General features: G+C 40.2%; 1 long non-coding RNA gene across 1 annotated transcript; it reads left to right on the top strand.

Annotated features, from left to right (window-relative positions):
- Window positions 1-6,281: 6,281 nt before the first annotated feature.
- Window positions 6,282-13,378, top strand: LINC00488 (long intergenic non-protein coding RNA 488). Its single transcript, NR_026767.1, has 3 exons — window positions 6,282-6,412; window positions 6,534-6,685; window positions 11,138-13,378. It is a non-coding gene; the product is annotated as a long intergenic non-protein coding RNA 488 (long non-coding RNA).
- The last annotated feature ends 1,353 nt before the right edge of the window (window positions 13,379-14,731 follow it).

The raw sequence follows: 14,731 nt of genomic DNA on the forward strand, positions 1-14,731 counted from the left end.
CCCACTCCAATCAATCATCATCTGGTCCCCGACTCCAGCTCTTTTTTTTTTTTTTTTTTTTTTTTTTTTTTTTTTTTTTTTTTTTTTTTTGAGACAGAATCTTGCTCTGTCACCAGGCTGGAGTGCAGTGGCGCAATCTTGGCTCACTGCAACCTCCGGTTCTCGAGTTCAAGTGATTCTCCTGCCTTAGCCTCCCGAGTACCTGCGACTACAGGCGCCTGCCACCATGCCCAGCTAATTTTTGTGTTTTTAGTAGAGACAGGGTTTCACCATGTTGGCCAGGATGGTCTCAATCTCTTGACCTTGTGATCCACCTGCCTTGGCCTCCCAAAGTGCTGGGATTACAGCCATGAGCCACCTCACCCGGCCCACTCCAGCTCTTTTAACAGTGAGATGGGTAGGCTGCCTGACTGCATGGGTTAGGGGAGGGCATCCACAGTTTTAACTATTTCTTGAGCAGAACTTCAGTCAATCCCATTTCCAGTCATACATGCACACATGCCTCCAGATGTATCTAGTGTTCCTTGTCTGTGGGAGTTTGGCGGTAAGAATCAGCTTACTTCTTATTTTTCCCCCATTACAAGCACTGATGTTTCAATTTTTTCTGATTGATTAAGGTGATTACCACTGACGCATCTGCTTACCCAGTTGTTAAGTTTTGTTGCTTCCCTTGAATGCTGTCATTACTTATCTAGGTTCTTAGACTCTTATACCCTCTTTGGGAGGGGTGGGAGAAGAACCTGTTAAAGAAGGATGAGTTAGTCACACTTCTCCAATCATGACATATCAACAGGGAAGGGCCACCTCTTGTTTATTTGTTTATATGTCGATTTATCTTTTATCTTTTTTCCACTCCCAACCCTTTTCTTCTCCAAAGACAATGTTTAATGTGCATGGTTTTGTTTGAGTTCTTAAAAATGTGTATTTTTTGTTTTGTGTATATAAATGTAAACATACACATGGTATGGTGTTCAAATTCTTATTCAATTTCTTAGTCTTTTTCATTCAGCATTATGTTTTTACGATACAATCACATTACACTGTCTACCTCTAATGACTTATATCTTTCCTTATTCCTTTACTGGTATTTCCTTTAATTATGGTTTGATTGATTGGAGTTTTGTATTATTTTTTTTCTCAAAACATACCTATAATTTAGCTCTATCATTTTAGTTTTTTCTAAAATAGAGCAAGAATTCAAAGATATTCTTCAGCAATTTGAGTGCAAAATTCTCCCCAAATTTTGGTGATTTTACCCCAATCTTTTATAGCTACCTCACTCACATCGAATCTAACACTTGCATATTCCTCTCCTGAGGGCTCATAATTTTTATTAGAAAGAATAATTGTCTTTCAAACATATTTTAATAAGTGTCGGCAAAATATAATTAAATTAGATCACTGTAATAACAGGTACAACTAGCCTAATCCCGTTTGAGGGTAAACACAACAGAATCTTGGTAAACATACCGCTCAGTTGGAGGAAGAAGTATGGCAGCATATTAGACAGCAGCGAGTATTCAGCAGGCCATGGGCATCATTTGGAAAATCTTACATGTGAATGTGAACATTGGTTAATCCAGAGAGTCATTCCACAGAACTTCTACTATAGGTTTTGTTTGCTTGCTTGTTTCTGAAAACACCCTATCATTCTCATTCTCTTTTGTTTGATTTATTTAGATTTAATTGTGCTTAAATAAGAGTAGCTCCACCACAGGCCAGAATGGAAAAGAGTTGAAAGTAAGTCTCTGAGAAGCTGGCAGGAAGATACTGGTACTGTTTTTGCCAAATGTTTTTATCCTAAATATGCGGTATCAAGGTTCTAGCAAATCAAATCTCCTCACACTTTTACACTGTTGGTGGGAATGTAAATTAGTTCAACCATTGTGGAAGACAGTGTGGTGATTCCTCAAAGATCTAGAAACAGAAATAACATTTGACCCAGCAATCCCATTACTGAATATATACCCAAAGGAATATAAATCCTTCTATTATAAAGACACATGCATGTGTCTGTTCATTGCAGCGCTATTCACAATAGCAAAGACATGGAATCAACCCAATTGCCCATTAATGATAGAACTGGATAAAGAAAATGTGGCACATAGTATACCATGGAATACTATGCAGCCATAAAAAGGTACAAGGTCGTGTCCTTTGCAGGGACATGGATGGAGCTGGAAGCCATTATCCTCAGCGAACTAATGCATGAACAGAAAACCAAACACCACATGTTCTCACTTATAAATGGGAGCTGAATGAAGAGAACTTACGGACACATGGTGAGGAACAACACACACTGGGGCCTGTCGGGTGGAGATGGAGAGGGAGAGCATCAGGAAGAACAGCTAATGGGTGCTGGGCTTAATACATAGGTGATGGGTTGATCTGTGCAGCAAATCACCATGACACACGTTTATCTATGTAACAAACCAGCACATCCCACACAGGTACCCTAGAAGTTAAAATATATGTTGACAAATTTAAAACAGGAAAAAAAAGTTTTACACTATTCCATTGTATGGATACTTGACAATTGATTAAAACAGTATTCTATTTTAAAAAATCAAATCTCCTCTTTCACCTAAGATTTAAAATAGGTTGATGGTTGAAGAATAGCTACAGAGATGTCTGAACCAAAAATCAAATAGTACAAAGCTTTGGGTTGTTTACAGTCATCAACCACTTAGGCAGGTTCATTTTCCCAGTCTGCATTCTCAGCAGCAGTTCCGGTACGATCTCAGGTGAATCCTTGTATTCTTCCGGGAAACTTGTCCTTAAATGCTACAAAGAACCTTTCATCCAAGAAACATAAAACACTCTGTAGACATTATCTCATTCTCCCTTCAGAACGTCTGTGGAAAGAATCAGTAAATAATAAACTGATGCTGTACAAGAAAAGAAACTGAGGCTTAGAGAGGAAATTGGCTAATTAAAGACTATTCCACAGGTGTTAACTAACAGACAGGAGTCAAGTGCCACTTTTTGTGGAAACCCCTTTTCCCATTCTACTTACAAAAAAGGAAAGGGAAGTGAATACATAAATAAATTTAAGCATATTTTGACATTAGTTTCATAATTCATTTAATCTAGTTTAATCTAGTACCAATAAAATACTAGTATCAATCAAAAAGAGGAGTTTGAATTAATGCTGAAGCTGCTTTTTCCTTCTAAGTTAAAAGTAGATATTACTTTGTTGTTGTTTTTAATTGATACTTGGAAAACAGAAATGGAATGAGAAGCTCAAATTAATTAAAAAAACCAATAGCACATAGTAAAATTTTTGTTGTATTTCTGGCACCCTAGATTTTTTACTGGCATATGAAACCTTTATCTGCCAATGATGAGCTAGAAGACAACCAGCTGAAAATGGCACAGAAATTTATATTTCAAAGGAAAAGAAAATATAAACTAAAAATAATCATTCTCCCATTTCTAACAAATTATTATTGAAATTTACATTTACATCAGGGCTGGAAGAAAATCTGTTTGCATCGAATAGGAGGCAAATATTTATACTTTTGGTTTACTCTAAACCAAATCAAGATCAAGTTAATCAGAAATCAAATTGAATTTTATGTGTGGTGGGGGCCTCAGTTTGTGTCTGAGCTGTGTTCATCTTAAGATTCACTCATTTCTTGGCATAGCTGCAGAACTGGTGGCCCAAGGCTCCCAGGAGTCTATTTATAGACAAGCCTGTGGAGCTGTATTCTGGGAGGAGGGCCCTCCTTATCCTAAAGGAAAATTCCTAAAGGAAGACTCATATGAAGTGCTCCCAATTGTCTAGAATAATGGGAATAATGAGACAGATGTGAGAGGACGGACTCTTTCTCTGGTGCAGGGTCAGGCACTAAGACCAGAGGTGGCACAAGGCCACGAAGTCTGAAGGCAGAACTGCTGTCTGACACGGAAGTGACAAGTCATCAAGAAAGTGCACTCACTTCTCTGTGCTCTTGGTGCCCATCATGATGAAAAATTCAAGATTTTAATACAGGTGCAAAGCCAATGGAACTCATTTATAATTTACAATTACATGGTTCATATTATGCATTGTCACATTTCCAATAGAGGCATTTTGTTTGCCCTCTAGGACAAGGGTACACAAGCTCTTTTTCTTTTTTTTTTTTAATTATACTTTAAGTTTTAGGGTACATGTGCACAATGTGCAGGTTAGTTACATATGTATACATGTGCCATGTTGGTGTGCTGCACCCAGTAACTCGTCATTTAACATTAGGTATATCTCCAAATGTTAACCCTCCCCCCTCCCCCCACCTTACAACAGGCCCCATTGTGTGATGTTCCCCTTCCTGTGTCACATATACACTATGGAATACTATGCAGCCATAAAAAATGATGGGTTCATGTCCTTTGTAGGGACATGGATGAAGCTGGAAACCATCATTCTCAGCAAACTATCGCAAGGGCAAAAAACCAAACACCATATGTTCTCACTCGTAGGTGGGAACTGAACAATGAGAACACAAGCTCTTTTTCTAAAGAATTTGATAGTAAGTTTTATGTGCGTCCGTGTGAAGAGACCACCCAACAGGCTTTGTGTGAGCAATAAAGCTTTTAATCACCTGGGTGCAGGCGGGCTGAGTCCGAAAAGAGAGTCAGCGAAGGGAGATAGGGGTGGGGCTGTTTTATAGGATTTGGGTAGGTAAAGGAAAAAGGGGGGTTGTTCTCTGGGGGGGCAGGAATGGGGGGTCACAAGGTGCTCAGTAGGGGAGCTTTTGAGCCAGGATGAGCCAGGAGAAGGAATTTCACAAGATAATGTCATCAGTTAAGGCAGGAATAGGCCATTTTCACTTCTTTTGTGGCGGAATGTCATCAGTTAAGGCAGAAACCGGCCATCTGGATGTTTACCTGCAGGTCACAGGGGATATGATGGCTTAGCTTGGGCTCAGAGGCCTGACAGTAAGTATTCTAGGCTTGCATGTCACATAGGTCTCTGGCATTTTCTTTGTTTTTTGTTTTGTTTTCACAACAATTTAAAGATGTAAAAACCATTCTTAGCTTACCGGCCAAAGAAAAGTAGGCCATGAGCTGGCCCCTGTTCTAGAATGTCGGGCCTTATGCTGGTATCTGGGTAGCGTGTGATTAAGGGCTTGGTATGCTGTCCTTCCTTCCTCCCTGTGCCACAATTATGACACTCAGTCAAATTGTTGAGTTCTTTCACCAATCCTGAATATTCATATCTGAGGCCTCCAGCTGTGATTAAAGGATAAATAAATAGATAATCTTGTGCCATTCCAGGGGTTACAGGCAGCAATGTTCTGTGCTCCATGTTTTGGAACAAGCTAGAGTTGGGTTAATGAAGGGCAGTTTCCTCATTTTAGGCTACTATAGGAGCATGGACTCCACACGGTGGCTCTTGAGTAACAAGCTAACCAGCCCACAGGAATACTAGGGAAGGAAACAGGGCCCTGGGCAGATATTAGCAGTCAGGGCTTGTGGGGTGAGCAGTAGCAGGAGCCACCTGAGGCTCTGCAGATGTGCCACACCCGTGGACAGGCAGCCTGGGAAGCTCTGGCTGTGGGCACTGAGCTAGAAATTGAAGAAGAAAAGGAATGTCATGACAGGTGCCATATGGGAGCTGGCAGGACTGTGTTTGCAATCACCTGTGAGACACCACCTGGAGACATCCAGGAAAAAAGGCAGCAGGGACTTTGTAGAGGATGGGGACAGAAGCAAAGGAACACTGTCTTCTATTGTTAGTGTTACCCAATTTTATATTTTAATCTAAAGGCTTAAAGATGGCCTGGAGAAACACAGTTCCCAGGGGTTTGCCAGATTGATCCTGATGTTGTTTTCCACTCACATAAATGGAAATAACAGTTTTCTAAAAGAGAATAGTGCTGTGTGATCAGGAAACCAATATGCCATCTCCAGTCTGGCTACTCAATAGCTGCATGACTCTGGAAAGTACCTTAATTCTCCTGGCCTCAGGCAGTTTCTCCATATCACACAGAGAATTAAAGCAAAAATGTCTAAGAGCTCTTTTTGTTTTAAATGTGTTCTATAATTATTTAATGTTAAAGCCATTAATTAATTAAAAACTGTTGATTGAGTCACCTGCTATGTTCCCAACATGGTGCTAAGTAATGAGACCACTGAAAAAAAGTTCCTCTGCAATCAAGAATCTCTGTTAAAGTAAACTAACAATCATGACTCAGGTTATTTCAAGCTAGGGTAGCGGTATGCCTGTGTTGCTAGGAGATTGTAGAGGATTTCTACACTTGCATAGAAATGAGAACCTGGAGCAGAGTTCCGGTGTTATTGAGCAGCAAGAATGAGAGCAGAGGGGGAAGCAAAGGTGGCACATTGATTATAACACACAGCTGAGGTCTCGATCACACTAGATGTCTCCAGTCAGTCGTGTGGAAATCGATGTGCTTCAGAACAGTCTGTAAGTAGAAATCTGTGTGCTTTCACAGTCTGTAAAGGGTGGGGATAGGGCATGGGGAGAAAGGCGTAAGAGTCTACCTGTTCCTCATTGGTAAAAATAATTCCATCCTTTACATTTACAGATTGGATGACCTGGCTCCAGGATCAGGGAAGTCAGAGCCCAGACCTCGGTTCACGGTGCTTCCTCAGATTCTGGGAATGCTGCAGGAAGCTGAACTTCAGGGGCCCAGTGGGTTCAGGCCCCAGACACCAGGGTCTTTGCAGTCCCATCATGGTGAGTATGAAGGAGCCATGCTAGAGCACAGCCCTCATCTGGAAAGGGCTAAGGGTGGTAGGGTTAAGAGTTGTGGTGATGATGGGGTAGGGGTTCTTCACTGAACAAGTGACCCAGAAAGCAGAGAAAGCCCAGTGAATCTGGAGAGATGCAAAAACTAGGGCCAAAAAAGACTAAGGCAGAGTTGAAAAGGCTCCCCAGAGGAGGTGTTGCTTGAATTGCAGCTGGTAAAAAAAGAAGGAGTTTCCAAGTCAACAAGCTGGGGAGGGTGGGTGAGAGTTAGTGGGGATGATAATGAAGGGTTGGGAGCAGGCAATTTTCAGACAAAAGAATAATATTTGCAAAGGCACAGAGTGTGAAAGAAAATGATCAGTCCAGTGAACTGCAAGCACTGCCTGGCTGGGAAATCATGGCACAAGAACAAAGAGAGGCTTCTTTACTCCGGACAGTCATTCCATCATTGCCAATTACCAACCAGAAATTGAACCTGCATGGGACAAAATGGAAAAGATTTTGTTATACACAAATGTCATGATAGAGAGATGACAAATCATCATCATTCATTTATTTATTCATTCATTTAATTCAATCAAACAAATATTTGTTTTATACTTACTGGGTGTCAAACATTTTTTTGTACTCAAGATTTAAACCACAGGAAAGTCCTGTGCTCTATGTAAGCTGTGTTCTTTGGATACTCTGACACAAGCATATTTTTAGTTACTGCTCTTCAATCTTCTTAATTTCTTCAGTTTATAGTTTTGATTACCAGGGTGTGTACGTGTGTGTGGTTGGTTGGGTGTGGGTGTGTGTATTAATTCCCATGTTTTCCTAAATAGGGGTTCATTAATTCTTCATTCTATACTTAATTCTCTCATATGTGGCATCTGTGAAATGAGTGTGGCAACTTATTAATTAAATACTGACTCTTGGAACATTTTGAGCACTGACAATTTTAGTCATAAACAGACGACTGCTCTTTTCTTGCCCCAGAGCAATGATAACATACATTCAATTGTTGTTACCTGTTTTTATAAAATGTGTGAAAGGATTTTTTTATTCACAACTTTGACTATTACCACTTGAGTTCATGTGAATGATATTTTAACATGCCTTGAGTTTTTACCAAGCCATTCTGTACTGCTGGATTTAAACATCTTTGCATGAAGCAGAGTTGGCGTGCTATTATACGTTGCAGACTTGTGCTTCTCTTGTTTTTCTGGCTCACTACCTCTAGCACTCCAATTCCGAAAATTCGTGGACTCCACCTGGTTCTACAATCCAGTGCCTTCATCGTTACTCACTGTTCTTCACTCCCCTCAGGTCCTTTCTTCCGTCTTTACGGGGCTTAGAAGTCATGGTCCATTGTTGTAACACTTCCTTGTAGACACCTACAACTCCCTCCCAACACACACTTTCTTCCTCTAACTTGTCTGAAAAAAATCCTCAATTCTGATTACTCCAGCTCTCTGTTTACTCTATGCCTGCACCTGTGCTATGGTTGGGGAAAAAAGCAAAACACAGCTACGCTGACAGATCTCACTGTAAATTCATGACCAGAAATCTCTCACATGGGCCCACGGCACTGCCAAGGAAAGGCCACTACATTTCAAGAATCTCCTTCTTTCATTTCTTTAGGCGAGCATTTAATATCTTCTCCTTTGACAAACTTTCAATATCTCCTCCTCCACCCTCATTCTTGGTCAGTGGCTTTGGTTCCTATTTCCCTTAAAAAAAAAAAAAATGATAAGAAGAAAACTACATACTCTCAATCATATCTGCTACCCTACTTGTACCCATGCTCCTATATACTCACATTCCGCCAGTTATTCAAGATATAAACTACCTGGACTCCTATCTGAGGACAGCCCTCCACTTGTCACTGGATTCCATCCTCTTCATCTGCATTCAAGAATATCGCTATAAAGGCCTGGCGCGGTGGCTCATGCCTGTAGTGCCAGCACTTTGGGAGGCCGAGGTGGGCAGATCACGAGGTCAGGAGATCAAGGCCATCCTGGCTAACATGGTGAAACCCCGTCTCTACTTAAAATACAAAAAATTAGCCGGGCGTGGTGGCAGGCGCCTGTAGTCCCAGCTACTCAGGAGGCTGAGACAGGAGAATGGCGTGAACCCGGGAGGCGGAGCTTGCAGTGAGCCGAGATGGTGCCACCGCACTCCAGCCTGGGCGACAGAGCAAGACTCCGTCTCAAAAAAAAAAAAAAAGAATATCGCTATAAAAAAAAAAAGAATATCACTACAGCCATTCTCTCCTTTCACTTCTGCATCATCAATTTTCACTCCCTCTACTTGTTTCTTATCAGCCTATAAACGTGCTATATTTCTTCCACCTCAAAAGAAAAGGAAAAGAACCTTCTCTTGGTCTCACATTCTTCTCCCTCTCCCTCCACTATTTCTCTGCACCCATTAATTCTCATCCTCTCCTCCCATTTACTTATGAACGCTCCAATTTTTTTTTTTTTTTGCCCCCAATACCACAAAAACTGTTCTTGTCATGATCAACAATTTGTAAAATCCAGTGGTCAGTTCTCGATTCTTATTTTACTTGACTCATCAGCAACATTAGGCAGAATTGGCCACTTCTGCTTCATAAAATATGTTCTTTACTTGATATTTGGGACATCAAGTTCTCTTCCCACCTCACTGGCTCCTCCTTTTCAGTATCTTTTGCTGATTTTCAAATCTTTCTGACCGCTAAGTGTTGCCGTGCTCAAGCTAAGTGCTTCTCTTCTCTGTTTACATTCTCTCTCTGGTGACTTTAGCCTGGCCTGTAGCTTTAAACATTATCTGTATTCTGATAATGTCTAAATTTCTTTCTCCAAATTGGAGATTTCTCTGGGTTTTGGGACTCTTATATCCAAATCACACTAAATATTTTCACATGGATATCTGTGAGGCATCTCAAAAGTAATATATTCACTATTCCTGTTCTCTTCCCCCATTCCACAAAAACCAGCTTCCTTCCACCCATTTTTCCCACGTTGGTAATTGCCAATAGATTTTTCCAGCTCTTCAAAACAAAGACAGTGCAGTATTCATTACTTTTTAATTGAGATAAAATTCACATGCCACAAAATTCACTCTTTTTAAGTATACAATTCAGTGGGTTTTGTGCAACAATCACCACTATCTGATTGCAGAAGATTTTCATCAACCCGAAAAGAATCCTTGGTTCAGTCATTCTTTTTTTCTTGCTGTTTGTTTGCTCTAGTTTCTTTTCTTAGGAAAATGCAAATTAAAACCACAATGAAATATTACTGCATACCTATCAGAATAGCTAAAATAAAAAATAGTGATAACACAAAATGCTGGCAAGAATGTGAAGAAAGTGGATCATTCATACATTGCTGGTGCACATGCAAAATGATACAGCCACTCTGGAAATAGAGACGTAGTTTGGTAGTTTTGTTTTTATTTTTCATTTAAGTCATTCTTGACTCCTCTTTCTCACACATTGCACTTCGAATCTATCAGCAAATTCTGCTAGCTTTACACTCCAAACACATCCAGAACCTAAGTACTTTCTGTCACCTACACTGTTATTAAAATTGGGATGTTCCAGGATTACAAAAACAGTGCCCTACCTGGGCTCCTTGATTCTCACCCTTGTCTCCCTGTCAACAAAATAGCTGTAAAGAGTCTTTTAAAAATCGAAATTAGATTGGCTGGGTGCAGTGTCTCACACCTGTAATCCTAGCACGTTGGGAGACTGAGGCAGGCAGATCACCTGAGGTCAGGAGTTTGAGACCAGCCTGGCCAACATCATGAAACCCCATCTCTGCTAAAAATACAAAATTATCCAGGCATGGTGGCGGGTGCCTGTAATCCCATCTATTCGGTTGGCTGAGGTGGGAGCATTGCATGAACCCAGGAGGCGGAGGTTTCACCGAGCCAAGATCACGCCATTGCACTCCAGCCTGGGCGACAAGAGTGAGACTCAAAAAAAAAAAAAAAAAAAATCTAAGTTGAATGTCTCAATACGCTCTTCAAAATTCTCTCATGGCTTTCCTTCCCTTTAGAGTAAAATCTAACCTTTACGCAGTTTCCTTCAAGGCCCTGCATGATCTGGTTCTGTTAGTTCTCTGACCTCTCTCTTCTACCTCTCTCCTGCTTGCTTAGTGGGCTCCAGCCACAGCAACCCCCTTGCTGCTCTTCAAACATGCCAAGCACACCCCCAACTCAGCCTCTCTCTCATCAGGTACCCAAGAGGCGGCCTCCCTCGCTTCCTCCACGTCTCTGCTCAAATGTCACCTTATCCATGAGTCCTTTCCTGAAATTTGTACATTAAATAATATTCACCAGCACTCCCAATCCTCCTGGCTTGTTTTAGTTTTTTTTTTTTCCCTCATAGCATGTATTTCCATTTGACATAACACCAATATACTTGCTTATGTACTTACTCTTTTTTTTTTTTTTTTTTTTTTTTTGAGACAGAGTCTTGTTCTGTCGCCCAGGCTGGAGTACAGTGGTGTGATCTCGGCTCACTGCAACGTCTGCCTCCCAGGTTCAAGCGATTCTCCCACCTCAGCCTCCTGAATAGATGGGATTACAGGCACCCACCACCACGCCCAGATAATATTTGTATTTTTAGTAGAGATGGGGTTTCAACATATTCACCAGGCTGGCCTTGAACTCCTGACCTAAGGTGATCCACCTACCTCGGCCTCCCAAAGTTCTGGGACTACAGGAGTGAGCCACCATGCCCAGCCTATACTTATTCCCTGACTTCTCCCAACTAGTATGTAAACTTCAAGCTGACAAGGAATTTGTCTTAAAACAGTATCTGGCATGTAAGAAGCACTCAATTAATATTCATTCACTGAATGAAAGAAGAAAGGAAAGAGCATATGACAAGAAAAACAACAACAACAACAACAAAAAGGATAAGCAAGACAATCTACGTTTATAACAGAAGAATTGAATCTAGGGGTGCTCGTTAAGAATTGTGATCAAGCTTAAATTTTTCCCAGAAAAAAAAAAGATGTTTAAATAGTACAAGAAAATGAATACGACAGATTGCATCTTGTAATAAGTAAGTTCTAAAGAGAGAGAGTGTTCCATGTCTGAAAATGTCTAGCTGATAGCATCATGGGCATAATAGTGGATCTTCATCTAAGTTTATTCAGTCTTTACCCAACTTGTCCTGGATGGCCAAGAGACTAGCAAAGGTTGGATGCAGGTGGAACATACTCTGACTCAGGGATACTTATTTCATGATTAGACAGCAGTTTCCTAATCATTGTCCATCCCTTCTCCCCATGCACACGATTCAGCCCTTAGGGTTATCTCTGGATACCCATCACTTGGGTTGCTGGGCACTCTTGTGTAAAGAGAACCAGCCCTGAGAAAAGAGAAATTTCCTTCAGCAGTCTACACCTTCATAGATGAGGGTAGTAGCAACAGGAGAAATCTATTTTACAGATTAAAATCAGAAGAAAGGAGAAATTTCTGCTAAGACAGAGGAGAACAGTAGACTGGCTATCAACAAGATAAACTATAGAAAAGCGATCACTAGCGTATGAACCATCCCCCAAGGCACTGTAGGTCAAAACAGATGATCTAGGAACCTGCAGATGAATCCCTCTAGAACAAGAAAACAACATTAATAAAAGTTTATATTTATTGAACTTTTTGTTAAGTGGTTACCTAAACCTTTTATGCATATTGATGAGTTTAATTCTCACCATAACCTTACCGGGTAGGCATCATTATTATCTGAAAGGCAGCGAGATTAAGTAACCTGCTCAAGGCCACATAATTAGGAAATGAAGGGGTCTTGAGATGAACCCAGACAATCTGGCTTTGGAGCTCATCATCCGTTTTTTTAAAACAAAACAAAACAAAACAAAAAAAACCCTGTTGTATACACTATAATATGCATTTTAAAGTGTACAATTTAATTATTTTTAGCATATTTGTGAAGTTGTGCAACCATCACTACAATTTTAGAACATTTTCATCACTCCAAAATAAGCTCCATACCCATTGTCAATCACCCTCCATTTTTCTTCAGCTCCCCAAACCCAAGAAACAACTAACCTACTTTCTATCTCTATTGAATTAGCTCTTCTGAACCTTTCAGATGAATGGGATTATACAATATGTGGTCTTTGATTCATCCATGTTGTAGCATGTATCAGCATTCCATTTCTTTTTTATCAAATGATACTTGGTTGTCTGGATACACCACATTTTATTTACCCATTAATCAGTTGAAGAACATTTGCATTGTTTTCACATTTTCCTGTTATAAATAATGCTTCTGTGAACATTCATGTACAGGCTTTCATTGCTTTTGTGTATACATCTAGGAATGGAATTGCTGGGTCATACAGTAACTTGGTATTTAACCTCTTGAGCAACACATGGTCTTAATCACTACACAGGATATTTCACACAGTGGATATGAAGTCACAACTGTCTCTCAAGATTTTGGGGTTGTTATTGCCTCTTACATTCTAAAAACTTTGTGTTTTTCTTGTTTTGAAATTCAACATACTGTTATTTCAGCATAAAATGGAACTTGGCTAATTTGAAGCTTGAGGTCAACACATTTTAATGAATCTATGATATGTGCCAAGGACTATTATAAGATCTATGATGGATACAGGGAAAAAAATATATTTCTATGAACAGTCTTTATAGCTTTAATAAACCCTCATTGAGCATCCACCAAGTGCCACTCACATTAATCCCTCATTGGCCAGGCATGGTCATGTAAGTCTGTAATTTCAGCTATTCAGGAAGCTGAAGCAGAAGGATTACTTGAGCCCAGGAGTTTGAGGCTGCAGTGGACTATGATCATGCTTGTAAATAGCCTCTACACTCCAGTGTGGGCAACATAATGAGATCCTGTCTTTAAAAAACAAATCAAGACAAAACAAAATGCCAAATCATAAACTCTGTCTACTTGTAACTTAAAATCTTCTGGAGAAGACAAATACATGTCAATGTGAACTTTTATAAGAACAACTAAGTATAAATATGTGTTGTTTTGAGATCCTATAATAGGAGCAAGAACTCAGGGAGGTCAGAAAAGGCTTCCTTGAGAAAAAAACACTTAAGTGAAGATCTGAAGGGTGGGAAGAGTTAACTGGTGAAATGCAGGAGGGGAGAGGGTCACTGGCAATTAAAACAGCCTGTGCCAAGGCATTGATGCAAGAAGGAACCATGTAAGCATGAAGTCTGCAAAGAAGAGAGAGCGAGGGCTCAGGGAGCAGAGGATGCTGGGAATGAGAGGTGAAGGGGCCAGACCATGCAGAAACTTATAGGCCAATTTAAGAAGTTTGTGGCCAGGCGCGGTGGCTCACACCTGTAATCCCAGCACTTTGGGAGGCCGAGGTGGGCAGATCACCTGAGGTTAGGAGTTTGAGACCAGCCTGGCCAACATGGTGAAACTCCATCTCTACTAAAAATACAAACATTAGCCAGACATGGTGGCAGGCACTGGTAATCCCAGCTACTTGGGAGGCTGAAACAGGAGAATCACTTGAACCTGGGAGGCAGAGGTTGCAGTGAGCTGTGATCACACCATTGCACTCCAGCCTGGGCAACGAGAGTGAAATTCTGTCTCAAAAAAAAAACAAAAAAAAAAGTTTGCTTTTTAATATTAAATAAAAGAGAAGTAAAATGTGGTATGTTCATCTAATGAAATATTATTCAGACATAAAAAGAAATGAAGTTCTAATACATGTTACAACATATAAACTTTGGAAACATTATGCTAAGGGAAAGAAGCCAGACCAAAAAAAAAAAAAAAAAGGAGAAATGTATGATTTAAATACAAAACCTAGAATAGGCAGATTGAAAGAGACAGGGAGTAGACTAGAGGTTAGCAGAGGATAGGGAGGAGGGGGAAATAAGAAGATATTGCTTAATGTTTATAGAGCTCCCGTTTGGGATAATGAAAAAGTTTTGGAAATAGATAGTGGTGAAGGCTGCACAATATAAATGTACTTAATGCCACTATATTATACACTTAAAAACTGTTAAATTGACAAGTTTTATGTTATATATATTTTACTACAA

Source organism: Homo sapiens, chromosome 3 (assembly GCF_000001405.40).
Source record: "Homo sapiens chromosome 3, GRCh38.p14 Primary Assembly".
Lineage (NCBI taxonomy): Eukaryota > Metazoa > Chordata > Mammalia > Primates > Hominidae > Homo > Homo sapiens.